Source organism: Homo sapiens, chromosome 17, assembly GCF_000001405.40.
Source record: "Homo sapiens chromosome 17, GRCh38.p14 Primary Assembly".
In the NCBI taxonomy this organism is placed as follows: Eukaryota; Metazoa; Chordata; class Mammalia; order Primates; family Hominidae; genus Homo; species Homo sapiens.
The window spans coordinates 17,767,981-17,788,207 of record NC_000017.11 but is presented as its reverse complement, the minus strand read 5'-3'; the positions used below and the strand labels follow the sequence as shown (position 1 = coordinate 17,788,207).

General features: G+C 56.8%; 1 protein-coding gene and 2 long non-coding RNA genes across 10 annotated transcripts in view, besides 10 other annotated features; 2 read left to right on the top strand and 1 right to left on the bottom strand.

Annotated features, from left to right (window-relative positions):
• The window catches only part of RAI1 (retinoic acid induced 1), a 129,996-nt gene that overhangs the window by 23,246 nt on the left and 86,523 nt on the right, over positions 1-20,227 (bottom strand). Inside the window, exon 1 of one of the 8 annotated variants that reach the window (XM_017024028.3) lies at positions 5,993-6,132. The exons of the other annotated variants lie outside the window; for them this stretch is intronic. The gene's annotated coding sequence lies outside the window, so the exon portion shown is untranslated. Of the gene's footprint in view, positions 1-5,992; positions 6,133-20,227 lie in introns of those variants that run through there. 8 annotated transcript variants of the gene reach the window in all.
• Positions 2,999-3,293: an enhancer, noted in NCBI's record as "tiled region #10806; K562 Activating non-DNase unmatched - State 8:EnhW". NCBI's record gives its function as "activates a minimal TATA promoter and a strong SV40 promoter by Sharpr-MPRA in K562 cells {active_cell/tissue: K562}" and the evidence as "EXISTENCE:reporter gene assay evidence [ECO:0000049][PMID:27701403]".
• Positions 2,999-3,641: a biological region, named in NCBI's record as "Sharpr-MPRA regulatory region 10806".
• Positions 3,103-3,641: an enhancer, noted in NCBI's record as "H3K4me1 hESC enhancer chr17:17687881-17688419 (GRCh37/hg19 assembly coordinates)". NCBI's record gives its function as "activates a minimal SCP1, AML or CMV promoter by ChIP-STARR-seq in naive H9 embryonic stem cells {active_cell/tissue: H9 hESC(naive)}" and the evidence as "EXISTENCE:reporter gene assay evidence [ECO:0000049][PMID:30033119]".
• Positions 3,642-4,182: an enhancer, noted in NCBI's record as "H3K4me1 hESC enhancer chr17:17687340-17687880 (GRCh37/hg19 assembly coordinates)". NCBI's record gives its function as "activates a minimal SCP1, AML or CMV promoter by ChIP-STARR-seq in primed H9 embryonic stem cells {active_cell/tissue: H9 hESC(primed)}" and the evidence as "EXISTENCE:reporter gene assay evidence [ECO:0000049][PMID:30033119]".
• Positions 4,307-4,576: a silencer, noted in NCBI's record as "silent region_8255". NCBI's record gives its function as "represses an Ori minimal core promoter by ATAC-STARR-seq in GM12878 lymphoblastoid cells {active_cell/tissue: GM12878}" and the evidence as "EXISTENCE:reporter gene assay evidence [ECO:0000049][PMID:35858748]".
• On the top strand, positions 4,664-12,665 carry LOC124903942 (uncharacterized). Its single transcript, XR_007065649.1, has 2 exons — positions 4,664-4,755; positions 12,038-12,665. It is a non-coding gene; the product is annotated as an uncharacterized LOC124903942 (long non-coding RNA).
• Positions 4,907-5,106: a silencer, noted in NCBI's record as "silent region_8254". NCBI's record gives its function as "represses an Ori minimal core promoter by ATAC-STARR-seq in GM12878 lymphoblastoid cells {active_cell/tissue: GM12878}" and the evidence as "EXISTENCE:reporter gene assay evidence [ECO:0000049][PMID:35858748]".
• Positions 5,148-5,648: an enhancer, noted in NCBI's record as "H3K27ac hESC enhancer chr17:17685874-17686374 (GRCh37/hg19 assembly coordinates)". NCBI's record gives its function as "activates a minimal SCP1, AML or CMV promoter by ChIP-STARR-seq in naive H9 embryonic stem cells {active_cell/tissue: H9 hESC(naive)}" and the evidence as "EXISTENCE:reporter gene assay evidence [ECO:0000049][PMID:30033119]".
• Positions 5,227-5,476: a silencer, noted in NCBI's record as "silent region_8253". NCBI's record gives its function as "represses an Ori minimal core promoter by ATAC-STARR-seq in GM12878 lymphoblastoid cells {active_cell/tissue: GM12878}" and the evidence as "EXISTENCE:reporter gene assay evidence [ECO:0000049][PMID:35858748]".
• Positions 6,784-7,673: an enhancer, noted in NCBI's record as "H3K4me1 hESC enhancer chr17:17683849-17684738 (GRCh37/hg19 assembly coordinates)". NCBI's record gives its function as "activates a minimal SCP1, AML or CMV promoter by ChIP-STARR-seq in naive H9 embryonic stem cells {active_cell/tissue: H9 hESC(naive)}" and the evidence as "EXISTENCE:reporter gene assay evidence [ECO:0000049][PMID:30033119]".
• Positions 8,563-9,452: an enhancer, noted in NCBI's record as "H3K27ac-H3K4me1 hESC enhancer chr17:17682070-17682959 (GRCh37/hg19 assembly coordinates)". NCBI's record gives its function as "activates a minimal SCP1, AML or CMV promoter by ChIP-STARR-seq in naive H9 embryonic stem cells {active_cell/tissue: H9 hESC(naive)}" and the evidence as "EXISTENCE:reporter gene assay evidence [ECO:0000049][PMID:30033119]".
• Positions 8,679-11,522, top strand: SMCR5 (Smith-Magenis syndrome chromosome region, candidate 5). Its single transcript, NR_024007.1, has one exon. It is a non-coding gene; the product is annotated as a Smith-Magenis syndrome chromosome region, candidate 5 (long non-coding RNA).

The window sequence follows — 20,227 nt, the reverse complement described above, 5'->3', positions numbered from 1 at the left end:
CCAGGCAGCCCCTCCAGACCACTCCCTGTGGGCAACGCTTGGATATGCATCCCTCCTCATTCATGGCCCCCCCATGCTCAAGGAAGAATCCCACGGGGTGACCAACATACCCTCTCTATAGGGTCTGGGGGTCCCAAATATCAGGATGCCAGTGATGGGGTGAGAAGCAGAAGGGCAGCCCTAGCCAGGCTCAGTTGAGGTTGGGGGAGCCCTGGTGTGGCTGGGGGCTCTGGGCCCTTCAGAGTGCAGAGGTATCTGGACTCTCCAGATGTTTGAGGAGCCTCCCCTCACAGCCCCCAACACCATCTCCTCCAGGGACCCAGCTGTGGGGACAGCTGAGACCTGCTAAGCCAGCTGAATGGGATCCCTGCAGGGCCTAACCACGCCCACCCGCTGGCCTGGCCCCACCTGCTGTTCATGGGCACAGCCAGGCCCCCTGCCTAGGTGCCCAGGTCCCCTAACTCTAAAGCTGTGCCCTGCTCTCCACTCCCACCCCACCGATCCTTGGTGCCGATTCCTGGGATACAGCTATCAAGAGGCCGGGAGACCTGGGCCGCAGGGCCCACAGTCCAGGGACGAGGGGCAGATGGCCAGCAGTCCCACCTCCACTGTGAGGTGTGGGGGAGCAACATGGGATTCCACAGCAGCTGCAGGCATTCCTAGGCCCCCCAGGGAAGGCTGCCGGGAGGAGCTCACCTATTATCAGTTCTGTACTGATCAGTCTCTTGTGGACAATAATTTTTTTTTTAGATCACTTTATTCACCACTGAACAAAAAGCGTCACCACCTCTCTGTGTCTCTGTCAAAATGAAGAAAAGGGAAAAAGGGTGGGGGGTGCTGATTGCTGGGTCGCAGACAGTTAACAGGGCAAGGGTCTGGTGGCCCAGGCAGTTGTCTGGGTCCTGCTGGGGGACACAGCCCCTGTCCTTCCCCCACGAGGCCAGGCTGATGCCATCAGACACAATCAGTCCTGGGCCTAGCAAGACCAAGGGGCTGGCCCAGACCCTGGCACAGGGGTCAGATGGGACCCACAGAGGTGCTCCCAGCCAGCTCCATTCTCCCCACCCCAAGCCCCAGGAGTGCCTGCCCTTGTAGGAGGCTGCATGATAAGGATGAGATAGGCTAGGTGTGACTGCTAGTTTTTTTGTTTGTTTGTTTGTTTTTTTGAGACAGAGTTTCCCTCCTGTTGCCTAGGCTAGAGTGTAATGGCGCGATCTGGGCTCACCACAACCTCCGCCTCCCGGGTAGCTGGGATTACAGGCATGTGCCACAACGCCCAGCTAATTTTGTATTTTTAGTAGAGACAGGGTTTCTCCATATTGGTCAGGCTGGTCTCGAGCTCCCGACCTCAGGTGATCCGCCCACCTCAGCCTCCCAAAGTGCTGGGATTACAGGCGTGAGCCACCACTCCTGGCCTGGCTGCTAAGGGAAGGCACAGGACTGTCTGGCCCCAGCCTTGTCCTCCCTACCCCACATGCCCAGAGGGTCCATGACTTACTTCCCTGGGGAAGTGGAAACACAGAGGTGTCAAGTGTCTGCAGGTTTGTCTGACTGCTGGCTGACTGTGTGACCTTGGGCAAGCCTTTTACCTCTGGAAATACCACTCCCAGATAACTACACAGCTTCTACCCTGGCTCCAAGTCTTGGCTCCTCTGTCACCTCTGTCACCTTCTCAATAAGCCTTCCCTGACCACTGTTTGAAACAGCACCCCTTGCACCCCCACGACTGACCTTGTTGTAATCAAACTTGACTTGCTTTATTATTGGTCTCCTCTTTAGAACAAAAGTTCCATGAGAGCAAGGATTTCTGCCTGTTTTGTTCACAGCTACTCCCCATTGTCCAGAACAATAAATATTTACTGAATCAATAATGCACAAAATGTCACAGTAACTCTGTGAAAATATCCAGAAAGAGCAGTGGAGTGGCGACACAGAGCACATGTGGGTGGGCCAGGCAGCGGGAGATCAGGGGTGGCCACTGCTTTGCTTCATTTGACAAAGAACATCTTCCCGAGGCCTGGCAGGGAAGTGGGCAGGTGGGTATGGAGACAAACTGGCGATCCTGCTCCCAAATAAAGTGGGGGGGGAGGGGCAGCAGCAGCCCCTCTCAGCACCAGCGGACTGCGGCCACTTGGGAGTGGGAGGCCAGGGTGCCAAAGCTTCTGAGCTTTTCCCTTGAAAAAGACAGAAATCAGGATTTTACAAAAAGGGACAGCTCTCATTTAAGAAAATATTATCAACCAAGTACAAAGTTTTTTCTTTCATACTTGAGAATTCAAGAGACACTGTCTGTGGCCTGAATTTGATCACAAGCTCCTGGGGTCAAATGCTGACAGAACCGATGCAAAGGGGATCTGCATGGGCTCGATGGCACCCAGAGCAGGAGGAACAGTGCTCACGGGCCCAGCAGAAGCTCTGGGACCAGCACAGATAAGCAGAGCAACGCAGGAGAGCAGAAAGGCGAGTGCCCTGGGCTCAGGGGGGAGGCAGGGCAGACCCGTGCAGGAGGTGCACTCAGCGGCCTTGGAAAGGAGGTGCAGAGAGGAGGGGGACTGGAAAGGCTGGAGGCTTCCAGAGGCGGTGAGAACCTCTGTGGCATTCCACACCAGACACCGGGCGAGGCGCCACCCCAACTCTCCTGGGTCCCCCGCCAGGCTCCTTGGTGGCTCTCATGGCAGCGGTAATTACATAATTGATGGTACAATGAGCTGTTTCACATGTGCCTCCCTCACTAGAACGTAGCCTGAGGAGGGCAGAGACTTCCTCTGTTTGACCCTAAGCTCCAAACCCAGAAACTGGCCCCAGAGTCGATGTCCCTTCAGTATTACTTGGATAAATAAACAGATGAGATGGATTGGGGTGCTGGGTTCTGTGTTGAGTGCATTTAACCCCCAACACAGACCAAAGGGATGATACCCAGAGACAGGTTTGAGGATGAGGGGCCTGGAGGCCAGGATGCATGCAACAGCCAATCAGGAAGGAGAGACAAAGTGTGTGCTGTCTCCTCCAGAGCCCCTAGTGCCTGCACTGGTTCACCTGTGGAGCACATTTCTGCTCAGCTTACAGTCTGGATGTGGGCCGAGCTGGGTGCCGGAGACACACAGGAAACAGCACATGGCCCTTGCTCTCCAGAGGCAGGCAGACACACATACAACTGCCCTGGTGGTGTTGAGATGTAGTGACACCCAGGGGCCCATGGGGGTGGGGAGAGGAGGTGATCAGGGAAGGCTGGAAGAAGGGCTTAACTATGTGGGGAAGGATGAAGGCACCCCATGTAAGCAGCAGCCTGGGTGGGACTGGGGGGCTGCAAAGAGCAAATGGGGACCCCTGCAGTTACCTCCCACCTCTGCCAAATTCTCTGGGCCTTCCCCGAGCTCAAGTGGCCCGGCTGCTGCAGCTAGTGTTCAGTATCCTCTGTCCTCATGGCACCAATCCCTGGCAATCCTGCAAAGTCACCCCATCTATTAGCTGCCTGCATCATGGCTCCCCGCCGAGCCACCCTCCTGTGTGCCTTGAGGCCCATGGGTCTGCCACCCAAACGGCATAGGGGTCTCCGGCTTGCTTCTACGTGGTGCTGCCTACACCCCCCCTCTCCTGGCCTACAAGACCAGCTGTTAAGGGCAACGAGCCACGGGAAGACACTTTTTGCAGAGCACATTCTAGGTCAAATCTCCCCCTCATTTTGCCGAGGGATTAATGGAAGAAGCCCAGAGTGGGCCAGTGGCTTGTGCAGGACGCCCAGCAGGGCTGAGATCCGTCTACAGCTCTATGCCCCAGAGTGCCTGTCTGTCAAACAGAAAGGGGAACAAGGTCTCCCTCCTGGATACGCCAGCTTCCCAGAGGAGTCGTGGAATGTGCCGCTGCCTTCCGCCTTCCCCAGCCTAGGCGGAACCGCCCCTCGCTTCCCTGCCTTTGACACCCCCTCGCTGCAGCCATTCTGACAGCCGGGGAGGCACAGCAGGCCAGCCCCTCCCAGTCCCCGTTCCACCTGGGGGAGCGGGGAATTGGCACCCCCTCCCTCCCCCCAGTCCCCAGGGGAGGAAGCCGCCTGTCAGGCCGCCACGGCGTGTCAAATCCTCTTGCTGCCTAATTGTGAGACGGCGGCGTTTAAAGAAACGCTTTTCTGGCCGCCTGCCACACCGCAAACTGCTTGGTATAATTTTATTATTAAGGAGAGAGAAAAAGAGGGAGGGGGATTGGAAGAGAGAAGGAGAGAAAAAAGGGGAGAGAGAGAGGAGGAAATTGCTTCGTCCAAGTCAGCTGGTGGAGTATTCTGCTCAACGTGAAAGCGGGGCCGGCTTTCCAGTTGGCAAGCTGACTTCGTTAATTGCGCATTCAGTCTCTACTTAGGGTAATTGAAACGAAGCGGGGCCGGCTCTGACAATTAGGGTCTGCGACTAGGCCATTAACCCTTTCCGCCCCCGCCCCCCGCCTACACCTCAGCACCCCATCGAGGTGGAGGGGGGTCACCGGGCGCCCCGGCCAGGACCAGATCCGGGGCGGGGGCGAGGAGCCCCACGCGAGGCGCTGGACTGCGGCAGCGAGTGCGGGCGCGCGCCCCAGCGCGAGCAGGGTTAACGCGGCGCCTGGAGTCCTGCAGCCCGGCTGGGGCAGAGGGGGACGGGGAGCAGCGCAGGGTGTGTGGGGGTTGTTGCGGCCTCTCCGCCCCTCTGCAACAGATGTTTCAGCCGTGTAAGACAAAGGCAGAGCGCCTGCTGCTGCCGGAGAAAATCCGCAGGACTCCCTCAGGGGCAGGTAAAATTTCACCTTCTATTTGTGTTCCCCCGCCCGCCCCCGCCTTGTTTCCCGGCCTCTGCGCCAATCCGGAAAGCGCACCAAAGACGCCGCGCCGCCGCCTCCGCAGCCCAGCCCGCTGACCCCAGCAAGGTCACGGCAACCTCGGGCTCTGCCGGCAGCGCGCCCGCCAGTTCTCCGCCGGCGAAGGGCGCCCCCCCGTCCCCGCGCCCAGTCCCCTCCCGGGGCGGGCCCGGTCCTCGGTGCCCCGGTCCCCCGGTCCCCGGTCGCTGCAGGCGCCAGGAGAGAGGAAGGGGGCGCTGCACTCGCCATGAGGCGGAGGCGGCCCTGGACGTCCCCGCCTCCCTCTCGCCTGCGCGGGGACCGCGGGGGGCTGCCACCAGCCCCCATCATTCATCTCCCTGATTCTCCCGTAGCCGCCCTCGAAGTCAGCCGAGTGAAGCAGCTGTTCCTTGCACACTCCACTTGACCAAAGATGATGATAAATGAGGCCGGGGCTGCCGCGGGGACGCGGCGGCGGCAAGGGGCGCGCAGGGCGGGGCGTACGGCCTCCGCAGCTCCCTCCCCACGCCTCGGTAAGGGCGAGGACGCGAAGGACAGAGGCCGAGAGCAAAATCTAAGGCCCGTGCTGCCCTCTTGGCGCCCTGAGCAGCCTCGACGGCCGGCGGTGTGGAGAAACCTGACGGAGAGGTGCGCCCGGCTCGCCGGGCCCCAGGCCGAGACCTCTTCCTCCAGGCCGCGGCACAGCCCCGCCCCCGCCCTTCCCCCTCCCTCCCTATCCCTTCTTCTAATGCTTCGGTCCCCACTGGGTCCTCGTCGCCCCCCCAACCCCCCGCCCCCGTGGCTCAAACCTATTAACGCTCGTAAATAATGAATAATGGAGCGCTTCCCTCCAGCCGCGCAAGGCTGCGGGCGGGGGGCCACTGCCAGATGCGCCCGGTCCTGGGGAGGGGGCACCCACCGACCGGGTGCAGAGGGGGCCCGGGCGCGCGGCCCCGCACACGTGCAACCGCGGCGCGCAGGCGGGCACCCCGCCCGGCGGAGGAGGGGGAATCCCGCTCTGCCCTCCCCAACGCCACCTCCCCTGGAGTCCTCTGGCACCGAACGAGGCGAGAGAGCGCGCGCGAGCTTCCCAGCCGGAGAGGGTTATTTTTAACCTGCCCCCCTTTCTATATCTGCCTCTCGGGTTTGCGCGCCCGCCCGCCCGCTCCACCAGCCGAGGACGCGGGCTCCTCACCTCGCTCGGCGGCTCCGGACTCTGAGCGCCTCCCCTGGCCCGCGGCCCCCGCCCCTGCGCGGGCATCGCACGGCTAAATCTCAGCCTGGAAAAGACCGATTAGGAGCCGCGTGCCTTTCTGCGAAATATTGGAACCGGGTGGGATGGGGGCGGGGAGCCCGGCGCTGTCGTCCCTTCGCCTCCCTCTCTCCCTCCCACCCCGCGCGCAGAGTGGCTGCGAGAGGCGGCTCCTGCTCTCCCCCCGCAAAAAGGGGGCGGCCGGCCCGGGGCCCCGAGCCCTCCGTTGGTTTTCGGCCTTCCCTCCTCAACGCCCACCCTTCTTCGGTCATTTACGAAGCTGGGGCTTCTAACACGCAGACCCTCCGGCAGCGGTGGCGCCAAGTGGGGCGCTGCCCCCGCCCCCCATTTCCAGTTCCCTCCCTAAGCCGCTCTAAACAAACACACCATTTAAACAGCAGCGGGCTGGCCGTACCAACAACTTTGAGGCAGACCCCACCCGTGCCTGCGACCGCGCCAGGGGACTGGGAAAGTGCCAGGGGCGCACAGTGGGGACTCCCCGAAGGCAGTTTAGTGCTGCCGTCCCCTTTTCAGGCTCACCCTCCCTTAGACTCACCCAGACCCCTCCCTCCCAGCCCCTTCCCCTGCGGCCAAGCACCCCAGGCCAGCAGCTCAGACTACCCTCCGCCCCCAGTCAGGGAATGAGGCCGCAGGAAGTTCAAGTAGGCTCCCATTACTCTGCTCTCCAAAAGGCCACCCATGCAAACCCCAGCCTGTCCTTCCCCCAAGAGGTGGGGAGCAGCAGAGGAGCTGACTGAGCTCAGAGGCCCCCCTGGGGCTTTGACTGGATCTCTCCCTCACTTGACATTTTGCAGACTGCTCCGTGCCCAATCCTGGAGACCCACAGGCATAGGAACCCGTGAGCACCTCCCTCCTGAAGGAGGTGGGGTAAGACTCCCTGCTGCAGCACAGAGGACGGAAGGTTGGAGGAAGTGGTGGGCTGAGAAAGGAGCAGGGCATTCCAGCCGCCAGGAGCTGCCTAGCTTGGTGGCGGGGAAGAATACCGCCTATTTGGGAACCTGAGATGGAGTTCTCTCTGTGGTTTAGCTAGTCTGGAGGAGACAGGCCTCAAGGGCTGGGCCCCTTCCCCAAGAGGGCAGCCTCTGGTGGGGGGTGGAGATTCCAGCAGAGAGGTAAGAAGCCTGGCAGGTTCCTAGCTCCTGGGAGGGGAGGGGGTGAGGATGCCTGTGGAATACAGATTAAAGACAGCGCTGACTCTGAGTGCTGGGCCCGGGACACTCCTGGGCCTGCCCAGAAAGCAAGGCTGGCCCAGAAGGGGAGAGACAGGGACACAGCCTCCTAAGCAAATGCAGAGCCTAGCATTACAGAGTGGGGGTTCTCAAGGGGCTTCTCCCCCAGCCAGCTAGACACTGGGCATGGACTTCCCTCATATCTGGAAAGGTCTTGATAAGGCTCAGACTGCTGGAGCCGTGTAACTGCAGCACCCTCAAAGGCTGATGCCGTCTGACCCCCTCCTGTGTCCAAGGTGCCTCAATAGATTTTACTTCTCTCAAACTGCCCTTCTGGGAGGTGACATCACCTGTCATTTCACAGACATGCAAACTGAGCTCCAGAGAAGAGAAGGGGGTATTCCAAACTCCAGCCTCTGGGGGCCCTCCCTGGTCCCCCTGTCCTAGGCCCTGAGGGGTGGGACCTCAATCGGGGAGATGCCCGTGGGGCTTTGGTGAATACAGGATACAGGCACCCAGGGGTGAAAGACATGGGCGAGGAGGTCCTGGTTCCCCCTGAAAATTTCAGAAAACTGGTTTTCTTGGGAGAAAAAAAGGGTGGGTGGCCGGGTGCGATGCCTCACGCCTGTAATCCTAGCACTTTGGGAGGCCAAGGTGGGTGGATCACTTGAAGTCAGGAGTTTGAGACCAGCCTGGCAAACATGTTGAAACCCCGTCTCTACTAAAAATATAAAAATTAACTTGACATGGTAGCATGCGCCTGTAATTCCAGCTACTCGGGAGGCTGAGGCATGAGAATTGCTTGAACCTGGGAGGCGGAGGTTGCAGTGAGCCAAGATTGCGCCATTGCACTCCAGCCTGGGGACAAGAGTAAAACTCTTGTCTTAAAAAAAAGCCTGGGTGGAGTGGCTCACTCCTGTAATCCGAGCACTTTGGGAGGCCGAGGCAGGCGGATCATGAGGTCAGGAGATCGAGACCATCCTGGCTAACACGGTGAAACCCCGTCTCTACTAAAAATACAAAAAATTAGCCGGGCGAGGTGGCGGGTGCCTGCAGTCCCAGCTATGCAGGAGGCTGAGGCAGGAGAATGGCGTGAACCCCGGGGGGCGGAGCCTGCAGTGAGCCAAGATCGCGCCACTGCACTCCAGCCTGGGCAAGGGCGAGACTCCGTCTATTAAAAAAAAAAAAAAAAAAAAAGGGTGGGGAGGGGACTAGAGAGAAGTCCCAGGGCCTACCATCACTGATTTCCCGCTACCCACTTGGCCAGGCTACCTACTAAGGGTTTCCATGTGGGGATTTGGCTCCTGGGGCTGCAGAATTATGATAATGAGGCCTAAGTCCACATGGGTCTTGTTCCTTCATCTGTAGACCAAATACAAACCCTATGTAGCCATGTGCCACACTCTTCAACTGTGTGTAGCTACTGTTGTGCTGAAAAAAATTCACTCAGGGCCTAAGAGCTTTGGGCAGTTAAATCCCCCTCCCCGACAACAGACTAACAGGTCCCATTTTGATATCAAGGGCTGGGGTTTCAAGACAGGGAACTGTGGGGCCCACGCTGTCCTGGCCTCCCTGGAGGCCTGGCTGCTCTCATGCCAGGAAGGGAGCTTCCATTTACTACGGGCCTAGGATGGCCGCCCCGCTGCCCCCAGCGCTCCCTGGGTGGGTGCGGATCCTGGCCAGTCCCCCAGACACGCAGTCTGCTGACCAGAAGCAGCGACCTTCGGGGAGAGCCAGCCACCAGCCAGCCACTGCTCCAGAGGCAGGCCTGGGGCCACCCGGGAGGCTTTCCTCACCACGGAAAATATTTGCCTTTGGTTGTCGGCTGATGCCTTGTCTTGTGTCTGAATGGACAACTGGCTGATTTCTCTCTCTTTGGAACAGCCATGAAATGCGAAGGTGTTTAAGAGTAAAAACCAGGCGAGGGCAACTGGGCCTGGCGTCCAGCTGTTTTGAACAACACTCTTGTTTTTCTCCCAGAGTGAACAGAATACTTTCTGCGGTTCAGAATACTCTGTGCACTGGCCCCTCTTCCCAGGCCCCGCCCCAGCCCCCTCAGGCCTCACCTCCAGCTGCTGCAGACCATTCCAGAACTCCCTCCCTCTTGGCTTCTAGTCACTCAGCATCTGGGGGAGAGAGCCTCTTCCAGCTGTACATAGCTAGCTTGGCCTGGCCCCAGAACTGCTGTGTTCTGGAAAGTTGTAGGAGAATCCCTCTTGGCGGGCTCTCCAGCATGGAGAATCGCAGGCCTCTGCTCCGGAAAGGGAGGCTTTTGAGAGGTCAGATTCACCACAGCCAGACCAATGAACTGTGAGGGCTCATAGGGGCTGGGGCTCCGGTTTCAGGGGTGAGAGGAGCCACCATCTGCCCCCATGCCCACTCTGATTGTAAATGGCTAGACTCTGGTGCCGGGGTCAGCTCTGGATTCATATCCCAGCTCCTGCATATGTATATGCTGGGTGACCTTGGGCAGTTTACTTAACCTCTCTGTGCTTTGTGTGCCTAAGCTGCAAGATACTCTAAATTAAACAGCAAACTTTCAGTGCTGTTGTGGGACGAAATGGGATAATGTGCTTGGTAGCTGGCAGGGGCTCAATAAAAGGTAGCAACTTCCAGGGCCACCAGTTCATGGGGAGCCAGGTCCAAGTCTTGTACTTTCTATGCCTCCCAGGGAGCCACGTATGTCTGCGACAGAGCTGGGGAGGACATTCTGGGGCTGAGGGTTGAGGTCTGCCCATAGAGCAGCGGCCTGTACCTGCAGGCAGGTAGAGTATCATCCTGGCTGAGTCTCAGTGCTCCTCAAACATTAAAGTGTACATCCTGGTGAGACGCAGATTTTGATGCAGCGGGTCAGGTGGGACAGGGGTTCTGCAGCTGTAAGGAACTCCCAGGTCAAGCCAGTGTGGCAGGTCTGTGACCGCAGCTGGTACGGCAAGATCTCAGCCCTGGAAGACTCTGGGTTCTGCTGAGGCTGGGCTCAGAGAGAGAATACAAGTTTTGTCCTGTCCAAGGAGCACCCTCCAGGATTTCAGGACAAGGCTCTGGCTCTGTGTCCCCAAGCCCTCAGTCTCAGAGCTTGGGTCCTGCAGTGGCCTGGGCAACCCTCCGGACTCTCCATTCAGCATTTGTTCCTGACAGCAGTGCACGGATAAAGAGCAGTTTCATGCTGCTGAACTTGCAATCACTTCAAGGCCTGGGCCCCTCTGGGCCTCAGTTTCCCCACTGGCACAGTGGGAAGCTGGGATAAGCTAATCCCACCCTTTCCCCTTGGTAATTCCCCACATTGCTCTTCCCTTCCCTTCATCCCTTCCCAAAACACAGGTCTGAGGCCTGAGCATCCATCCTAGGGGCTGGGCCCCCATCCCCATGACTGCAGTCATGGGGTACAAGACTCATGCAGACTCGTAAGAACAGCCACTTCTGACCTGGGGCCTCGATGTTCCAGGCACTGTCCTAGGCATTTGCATCTACAAACTTCTCACCATAATCCAATCACCACTGTTTTACAGATGAGGAAACTGAGCCCCACGGGGTGAAGCCTATTGCCTGAGATCTTGCAGTTGGTAACGGGTGCAGGCTGGACTCAGGCCCCCACACATGCCCAGGCCCTTGAGTATTTGTAAGGGAAGCAGCTGTTTGGTTTTCTTGGCACAGAGCATCTGCCTAGCTGGTGAGGGCATGGGGAAAGAGGTGCCCAATCTAGTTGGGGATGGGAGGGTAAAATGGTACTACCTCTTTGGAGAGCTTTCTGGCAATATGGACCCAAATGCAAATTACATGTGCCCTCTAACCTGGGCCCGAAGTCATCTGCACAAGGCTACCAACTGCAATGTCCTTTGCAGCAGCAAAACACGGGATCCCCTAGCTGTCCATCCAAGGGGGATGAGGGAGATACATCTGGGAGGTTCTATTGGCTGAGTACTCAGAGAATGGAAGCACCACATGGATTAATTGGAGCAGTCTTCAAGTTGGTGAAAAAAAGTGCAGTGTAGAAAGTGTGTACAGGGCCGGGTGCAGTGGCTCACACTGTAATGCCAGCACTTTGGGAGGCTAAGGCAGGAGGATTGCTTGAGCATAGGAGTTTGAGACCAGCCTGGGTAACATGGGGAGATCCTACCTCTACAAGAAAAAAAATGAACTAGGCAGGTGAGGTGGTGTTTGCCTGCGGTCCCAGCTACTTGGGAAGCTGAGGTAGGAGGATTGCTTGAGCCCATGAAGTCAGGCTGCAGTGAGCTGTGACTGCACCACTGCACAGTCTGGGCGACAGAGCAAGACCCTCTCTCAAAAAAAAAAAAAAAAAAAAAAAAAAAGTGAGCCAGGCACGGTGGCTCATGCCTATAATCCCAGCACTTTGGGAGGCCAAGGTGGGATGATCACTTGAGGCCAGGATGGCCAACATGGTGGAACTCCATCTGTATAAAAATACAAAAATTAACTGGGCATGGTGATACACACCTGTAATCCCAGCTACTCAGGAGGCTGAGGCACAAGAATCGCTGGAACTCAGGAGGTGGAGGCTGCAGTAAGCTGAGATCGCGCCACTGGACTCCAGCCTGGGCAACAGAGTGAGACTTTGTCTCAAAAAAAAAAGTGTGTACAAAACATTTGTATAAAAAGGAAATTGCATTTGAATTTTTCTACCATGAGCATGTGATAACTCCTAAAAGATTTAAAAACTTCTATGAATGGCTAGGCAAGGTGACTGAAAAAATAACCTGGTTTCAGGCTCAAATCTGGCACTGCCACTTTCCAGCTGTTTGACTCTAGGCTGGTGGGTTGACCTCAGTTTCCCCCTCAGTAGGATGGGACAAGACCCAGCTGCCAAGAGGAGTCAGCTCCCCTGCGTCCTGCAATGCGCAAGATAGGGATCAGCCTCCCATTTTACGGATGAGGAAACAGCCCCCAAGAGGGGAAGGAGAACCAAACCTGAATTCCTGTACAGGCTGCGTCCTCCTCAGTGGGTACACAGCTTTGGGGGACGCAGCAGCCAGGACTGGCTCAAGCGCTAAGCTGTGTGGGGACCTGCTGCTGCCAGGGCCAGGTATGACTGACCCTTGAACAACACAGTCTACTTATATGTGGATGTTTTTCTCAGAATCAATGAAAATTAGATGTGATTAGCATACTCAGCATCGGAATAACTGAGCCAAGATCCCAAGATAGTTTTTTCAAAAGGTTACACCGAGTGTGCCTGCCTCTCCTGCCTCCCCCTCCACCACCCGAGACAGCAAGACCCTCCCTTTCTCCTGGCCCCAGTCTACTCAATACAAAGACGGCGAGGATGAAGACCTTCACGATGATCCGCTTTTACTTCATGACTAGTAAATAGATTCGATTGTCTCCTCCTTAGGATTTTAATAACATTTTCTTTTCTTTAGTTTACTGTATTGTAAGACTACAGTAAATAATACATATAACATGCAAAATGTGTGTTAATTGACTGGGGAGTCGAAAGTTACACATGAGGCCAGGCATGGTGGCTCACACCTATAATTCCAGCACTTTGGGAGGTGGAGGCGGGCAGACTGCATGAGCCCAGGAGTTTGTGACTAGCCTGGGTGACATGATGAGACCCCATTTCTACTAAAAATACAAAAATTAGCTGGGCATGGTGATGCATGCCTGTAGTCTCAGCTACTTGGGAGGCTGAGCTGGGAGGATCACCTGAGCCTGGGAGGTCCAGGCTGCAGTGAGCAGAGATTGTGCCACCGCACTCCAACTCAGGCAATAGAGCAAGACCCTGTCTCAAAAAAAAAAAAAAAAAAAATTACACATGAATTTTCAGCTGTGTGGGGGTCAGCGTCCCTAACCCCCACATTGTTCAAGGGTCAGCTGCACACAAAGGCACTCCTGGTTTCATGTGTTACAATGTTTTCATTCTATTTCTACCTGCAATATGCTTTCCTTCAATCATCTGAACAAAGGAACACGTTATAAAATTTAAAACCAGAAGCTGGGCTGGGCTTTTCTGGGCCCCAAGACTCTGCCCTGAAGGCCTGATTGGTAGGGAGGCTCCCTGTCTAGGTCCAAATCCCCACCCAGACACTGCCTTGCTGTGGGGGCTTGGGCAGGCAACTCAAGTTCCCTGTGCCTCAGTTTCCTCATCTGCAAACAGGCACAAGATTATGCACCTCAGACGATGGTGCGCAGATGCCAGGAGACAACGTACATGCAGCTGCCAGACCAATGCTGGGCAGAGGAGGGCGCAACTAAGTTAGCTGTTACTTTTAAAAGGTAAATGTTTATATACTCTTTTATAACAGAGGGAAAGTTCAGGAAAATCCCTGACTGGTCCTTGCTGGCTGTGGAGGTGCGGCCGGGAAGACAGGAGCTCCTTGAAGTGACAGAAACCTGGCTCCAGCCCACAGCCTCAGGAACAGCTGGTCACTGCCCGGGTGGGCGGACACGCTGTCCTGGCACAGGGGCCTGGCGGGGCAGTGGCCAGAGCGGGGTCCGGCTGTCTGTGTTCCCTGGCTGGCATGTTGGGAGGAAAAGACTTGGCTGACGGGCCGGAGGCCCCTGCGGCCCCAGGCCCCTGAAAGGAAGGTTCAGAAAGGCCCCTGTGTTCCGGCCTGGTCCAGAGCTGGCTTTTTCCAGACCAGGGCCTCAGGAGTCTTTGGAAAGAACACCGAGTACCTGACGCCCACTGCTGACTCGCTGTGTGACCTCAGGTGAGTCACCCCAACTTGCTGGGCTTCCGCTTCCTCACCCATAAAATAGGGATAGTGATTAAATGCCCACCTTGCAGGGTTGAGCAAAGAACCCATGAGCAAAACAGATACAGAAATGCTTTGTCATCAGCATCCTCGGGGCTAATTCCCACACCTACCAGACATGTGTTGGGCCCTGTTCTGAGAAGCAGTCTACACATTTTAACTCATAGAGGAGGCAGCAGAGGCACAGAGAGGTTAGGGCACTTATCCAAAGTCACACAGCTTGTAAGTGGCAGAAGCACTATAGTAGGTAAGTAATTACTTACCTGATGTAATTTTAAATTATAGATTATAGATGCAGTTAAATAAATTATATATAAATATACAAATTATAAATAATATAGACATTATAATTACGTGATTATTAATTATGTGCCTATTATAACTCATGGCTATGGGGTCTGGGATAAGGTTTGGAAACTTCGAACTCAGTTTCCAGAGGTAGCTTTGGCCAGGGGAAGAAGGGCTAGGAGGGAGCACTGTGGCCAGTGTGGCGCCTGTGGCAGGGGCTGCAGCAGAAGCTGCTCTTTCAGGTGTTGAGATTCTAAGCCCCATATTTCCTGGGTACCCTCTGTGTGCTGGGCATCAGGAGAGGTGCCATCTTCCCTGTCACATTGCATTTTTTCTCTCTGCCTCCCTTCGTCACATTGTTTTGATCCCCAGAGAAACTGCAAAGAACATGAATACACGAGCACCCCCATTTTATAGATGTGCCATTAAGGCCTAGGAGGCAAAGGGAATTTCCTGGTGAGCAGCAACGTTTAGATTTGAACTCTATGGGTCTGGTTCCCAGTCTGCTACCTGGGCAAGGATCCTGGGAGCAAGCAGGGATGGAGGAGGGCATCGGTGTCCCCCTGAAGAAGGGAGCCCTTGGGCTGCAGGGACGCCAAGCAACCTTGTTCTGTCCCATGCACTGTCTGTGGAGCGCCTGATGTGCTGCCTGCTGAAGCCTCCACCTTCTCTCCAGCTCATCCTGAGCCTCCACGCTGGGCACAGGAGCTGAGCTGACCATTTTACAGACAGAGAAATTGGGGCCCATGGAAAGCCAAAGGCTTAGAACTCCATTTTCTAATGCCTCTGGACTCACCTCATAGACCACCTGGCCTCTCCATCCACCCACACAACAGTCCACCCATCTATTATTCACCTACCCACCCACCCATCCATCCATCCATCCATCCACCCACCCACCCACCCATCAGTCTATCCATGCATCCATGCACACACACCCATCTATCCATCCACCCATCCACTCACTCACCTGTATACCTCACAATCACCCACCCATCCATCCACTCACCAGCCTACCTTCTTTCTATCCATGCATCCATGCACACATACCCACCTGCCCATCCACCCTTGCACATACCCATCTGTCCATCTCAGAAGCAGTTACTAAGTGCTTACTGTATGCCATACACCTGCTAGAGACTGAGCACCCAGAGACAGCTGTGGGCTCAGAGCCTCGTGGAGAAGGCAAGTAAGTGCCAGCGCATGGGAAAGGGCCCTACGTCATACCTGAGTGGGAACAGGAGGGCAGAGGGGCTTCCCAGGGGAGTGACACTTCACCTGAGACCTAGGGGATGTGCCGGAGTTAGCAAGGGAAAGAGGAAAAGCCTGGAAGGCAGGAGAGAGTGAGAGATAGTAGTGAGAATGCAGGCTGGCTCTCGAGTGGAAGTGAGAGGCAAGAAATGAGAGATGGGCAGGGTCCACGTGGTGTGTGGCCCTCTGGGCCACAGTGGAGAGCACAGATGTTGTGGTGAGGGCCACGGGGAGCCCCAGAGAGTGAGCAACAGTGAGCATCACACATGTGTGTTGGGGAGTCTGCAGTGGCTGCAGTGAGGCAGGATGGATTGGTGATGGGGGTGAGAGGGGAGGCCAGGAGGCCAGTGAACAGGAAGCTGGGACTGTCCCCCAGAGAGCAATAATGGGGCCAGACCAAAGTGGTGGCAGGGGCTGGAAATGCAGGGAGAAATTCTAGAAATGTCAGGAACAGAGCATTGGCAGGACTCCACAGCCAATTCTAGATACTGGTGGGGAGGAATAGATTTCTCCAAAGTCCATGGTCCTAAGCACCAGTTAGGAATCCCTTCCTCCTGGACTGGAGAAGATGCCTCACCCAACCTCCCGTACATATTGCCAACCCTTGAGTCTGGCTTACATTTCCTGGTGTGCCAGAGCCTGGCAGGGTCAATACCCTTAGGTGACAGATTGCATGTCTGAGGCCCAGAGAGGACAAGGGGACACACAGCATGGTGGCCCAGAGCCATGCACCACCCTCCATCTCCAGTTAATGCCTGTGCCAGCCTGTTCTTTCCCCTAGGCTCACTGCAGGTGGGGGGTGGTGGGGACAGAGAGTGTGACATTCCAGGCCTGTATGGTGGTGGCCTCCCTCTGGCAGTGCCTCCTTGGCATCACTGTTTGGGTGTCAGTGGGAGTACTGGCTCTCAGCACAGGGATGAAAGGCGGGTGCTGGGGGCTTGGAAGGGAGCGAGATTCCCATGGGAAAGGGATGACTCTGCATACCAGCCCCCGACAGGCCGGCTTTGATGGTGGATCAACCCCAGCAGCTCCTCGGGCACCTGCCCCTTGCTGGGAAACAAAGGCGGGAGGCGGTGGCCATGGCTATGTGCACACATGAGCAGGGAGCCCCCAGCAATCCCTGCATCTCTGCCATAGCTCCATCTCTATTCCTGTCTCCTTTTCGGGCAAACACCCGCCTCATGGACTGGATGCACCCCAGGTTGATGCACTCTGTCCCCACAGCCTCTAGAGCCCCTTGGTCACTTCCCCTCCCATCCTCAGAGCCACTGCTAAAGGATTTTGTCTCCCAAACGAACTGCATTTAGAGATCACCCACTTGTTCCCTCTCATGGGCCTCAAATGAACAGCTAGTCGGGCCTTTCATGGACCTGCTCAGGCCAGGGGCTCATGGGCCACATTTGCTGAATGAATGAGTGAACGAATTTGATGGATGGATGGATGGATGGATGGAATTCTAACCCCAAGCAAAGCCACTGCTATTTTTGTTAGCCTAAGCAAAATATGATTTCCCTAAGGCTTTTAAAAACATGGCGGGTAGCTCCTAGGGCCCTTCTTCATGACACCTGGGCAGGGTCAGGGGCATGGCCCTGCCAAGGCCAAACAGTGGGGTGCCCCTGGACCCTGGGCTCCTGTCTCCCCATCCATTATCATCCCAGGGTCTCCAAAGATCCCCCTGAAGCCCCCTTTCCTGAGCCCTGCCCTTCCTTGGGCTCCCAGACACCCCCAGGAATTCTCCCGGCCTGTGAGTATCCCAGGCCCTGGGTCCTTAGGAGCCTCCTTATTGAGGGCCAGAGGACACGGGCAGAGGGAGGGCACATGCCTGCTTGGAGGCCGCCCAGCAGCTTTGCAGCCGGCGAGAGTAGGGCGTTTGTCATCTGCTGAGGACAGTGGGGATGGTTTAAGGTGAAATTTAAGCCCATTAGTGCTTGGCTAATGACAGCAGCAGCAACGGGGAAAATGAAGACGGCAGGGTGTGTGAGCACCCATAAATTGCTGGGGCTGGCGCCGCCTGCGTCCTTGGGCCTGGCTCCCCGGCCCCTCCACTAGCTTGGGCCAAGTCGCTACCCACCCCCACCCACCCCCATGGACCTCCCTGGCCGCTGGCAGGCCCTGGCCCCTGACCTGGCCAGGCCTCGCAGGCCAGGCCCCTAGGGTCAGTGTGCGACTGGGGCCTCAGCCGGGGCGTGAGAAAGGAATTGGCCGGGGAGCCCAATCATGGAAGAGGCAGTATCTTCTTAATCTCCCTCCTTTTATAACTTCTGTCTTTTTTATGCACACGCAAGGATCCCAGCTCAGCCGCCAGCATCTCTTACCCAGGCTGAGCCGTCTCCCTGCAGCTAATGCCTGACAGCTCTGTTTATGTCTCCCCATAATTCTCTGGTTTTATGTTTTTTTTTCGGGGCCATTAAGCTCCCAGCCACAGGCTCCTTCCCCTGCCCCCGCCTGCCTTTGTCCTTGAGGCTCAGCCACCCCACCGCCCTTTGGGAGACAGGCTGTCTCCCTACCCCGCAGGTAGACAAGGATCCTGCACCCCGGCCAGAGGCCTCACTCAGGATGGCTGCAGTGGAGACTTCTGGTCCCAGGCCCTCCTGCCAGCAATCCCTCATCCTCCCGCCCCTCCCATCACAGGCCTTGTACCGCCTGGTTCCAGGGGAGACCCTGCCTAGGGTCCTGGAGGGCCCAGCAAAGCCCTGTCACCCTGGGCAGGGCCCCCCCGCTCACCCGCCCTGCCGTCCTCCCGTGTCGCTGCTCCTCGGTCCCATCCTCTGGCCTCTCTTCCCGGGTGACCGCATCTCCTCCCACAACCACCTCCTGAGGGCAAAGCCCATTTCCCTCCACCCGACCCATCTCTTCAGTCTCCACTGCAGCCATCCTGAGTGAGGCCTCTGGCCGGGGTGCAGGGTCCTTAATGGCTTGGCTCCAGTGCATCCATGGTGTCCTTAGGCCTCCTCGCCCCACAGGCCTTGCTTGCTGCCCCAGTCCTTCTGTAAGGCCTCTCTGAGGAGGCCCCCAAGTCCTGGGGTTCCCCTGCCTGAAGTGTGCCCATCTGGCCCCCTCCCCATCCTCACTGCCACAGGTCCTAGGTCTGGCTGTTTCACTACCCACCAGAAATTCCATGCCCAGCTGCCAGCGGGATCTCCTCGTCCCTAGCCTCTGCCCTGTGTGGCCCCTCACAAGCTTGTCATGTCGCTCCTTCATTATGACGCCATCAGTGGCTCCCTACTACTTTCTGCTCCTCCAGCCCTGACCTCAGCATGCTGCTCAGACCTCTTGAGCCCCCGTGCCTCGGGGGAGCTGGCTCCCAGCCCCACATGCTGCAGTCTGAGATCCGACCCGGGCTGTCCCAAGGAGGCCTGCGCAGAAGGCTTAAAAGGCACAGCCTCACCTTGTCTCCCTCTCCTTTTGGGGGGACACCCCCATCCATCCACTTCTACTCTGGCATCCAGCACCTCCAGCCCTGAGGGTGACCCAGCTGGCAGAGAAAGGGCTCCCCTCAGATACCCTGGCTCTTCTGTGAGGAGACCACGCCAGCAACTTTCTCCCTTGTTCGTGAAGACATGAGCCAAGAAATCATTTCTTCTTTCTAATTTCCTTTCTGCAGAGTGGCCTTTGTCAGCCAGAGGCCCACACACCGAGTCCTGGGGGCTCCTTCCCCACACATGCAGGTGGCCCCAATCCCACCTCATCTGTGAGTGCTGCTCTGGCCTCCTGGCCACCCTTTGCCACGGCTTCATCTGCCCCCCAAACTGCCTGACACTGTCACTTCAGCCTTCTGAATACCAGGTGGCCTGGGCCTTGCTCCTCTCCTCTCTCCCCCTCATGAAAGGGTGCTGGGGGGCATCCAGGCCTGCCTCCCCTAATGGGGCCCTGCCCACCCTGCCGGGAAGAAGTGCTAACACCAGCCGCAGCCGCCACCTTGGGTCTGAACCTCCTCCCCCTCCCATGCACTCCAAGGCCCAAGCTCTTGGCTTGGTTTCAATCGATTCCAACCTGAGTCGTCTTGTGTCTCCCCAGTGTGTCTGGCTGCAGGTCAGCAGGGCGCAGGCTACCCTGCCCATCCTGGCTGGCACTCCACACAGCCCACTTCCTGCCCTTGACAGACACACCGTCGCCCTGACAGCCCCTCACGTGATGGTCAGAGCACTGCCTGGCCCTATGTCTGGCGTGTAAACTGGGCAAGCCACCTGGCCTCGCTGGGGTACTGTTCTCCTCTGAACCAAGGCCCATTCAGTCCTGCCTTCACCCTCCAAATAGCTATTGAGCACCGTGGATGTGTGGGGTGCCCTGCCAGTCTGCCCTAGGGATTAATCCTCTTGTTAAGAGTGGCCTCAGAATTTGTGGGGCTCAGTGCAAAATGAAAATGTAGGGCCTCTTGCTCACAAAGTAATAAAAACTCAAGATAGCAACAGCAGAGCAGCATGCACCAAGCACAGGCCATTTCTGAGCGCCAGCCCTGGGCAGCTGCACAAGTTAAGGGCCACAAAGATAGTCCTGGCTAGACCATGGGACCAGGTGCCACCCCCTGACAGTGTCCCCTACGTCCCAGGCATTCTGCTGAATGCTGCAAGAAGGTCATGATTTAATCCTCATATTACACCTGTGACATCACAGATACCAGCAATCCTCAGGGTAGCAACAGTTCCTCTTTACTGAGCACTTATTATATGCTAAGAGTTCCACTTACATTAAGCCAATGAACCATCACAACCACCCGGTTCTGGAGCTTAAGA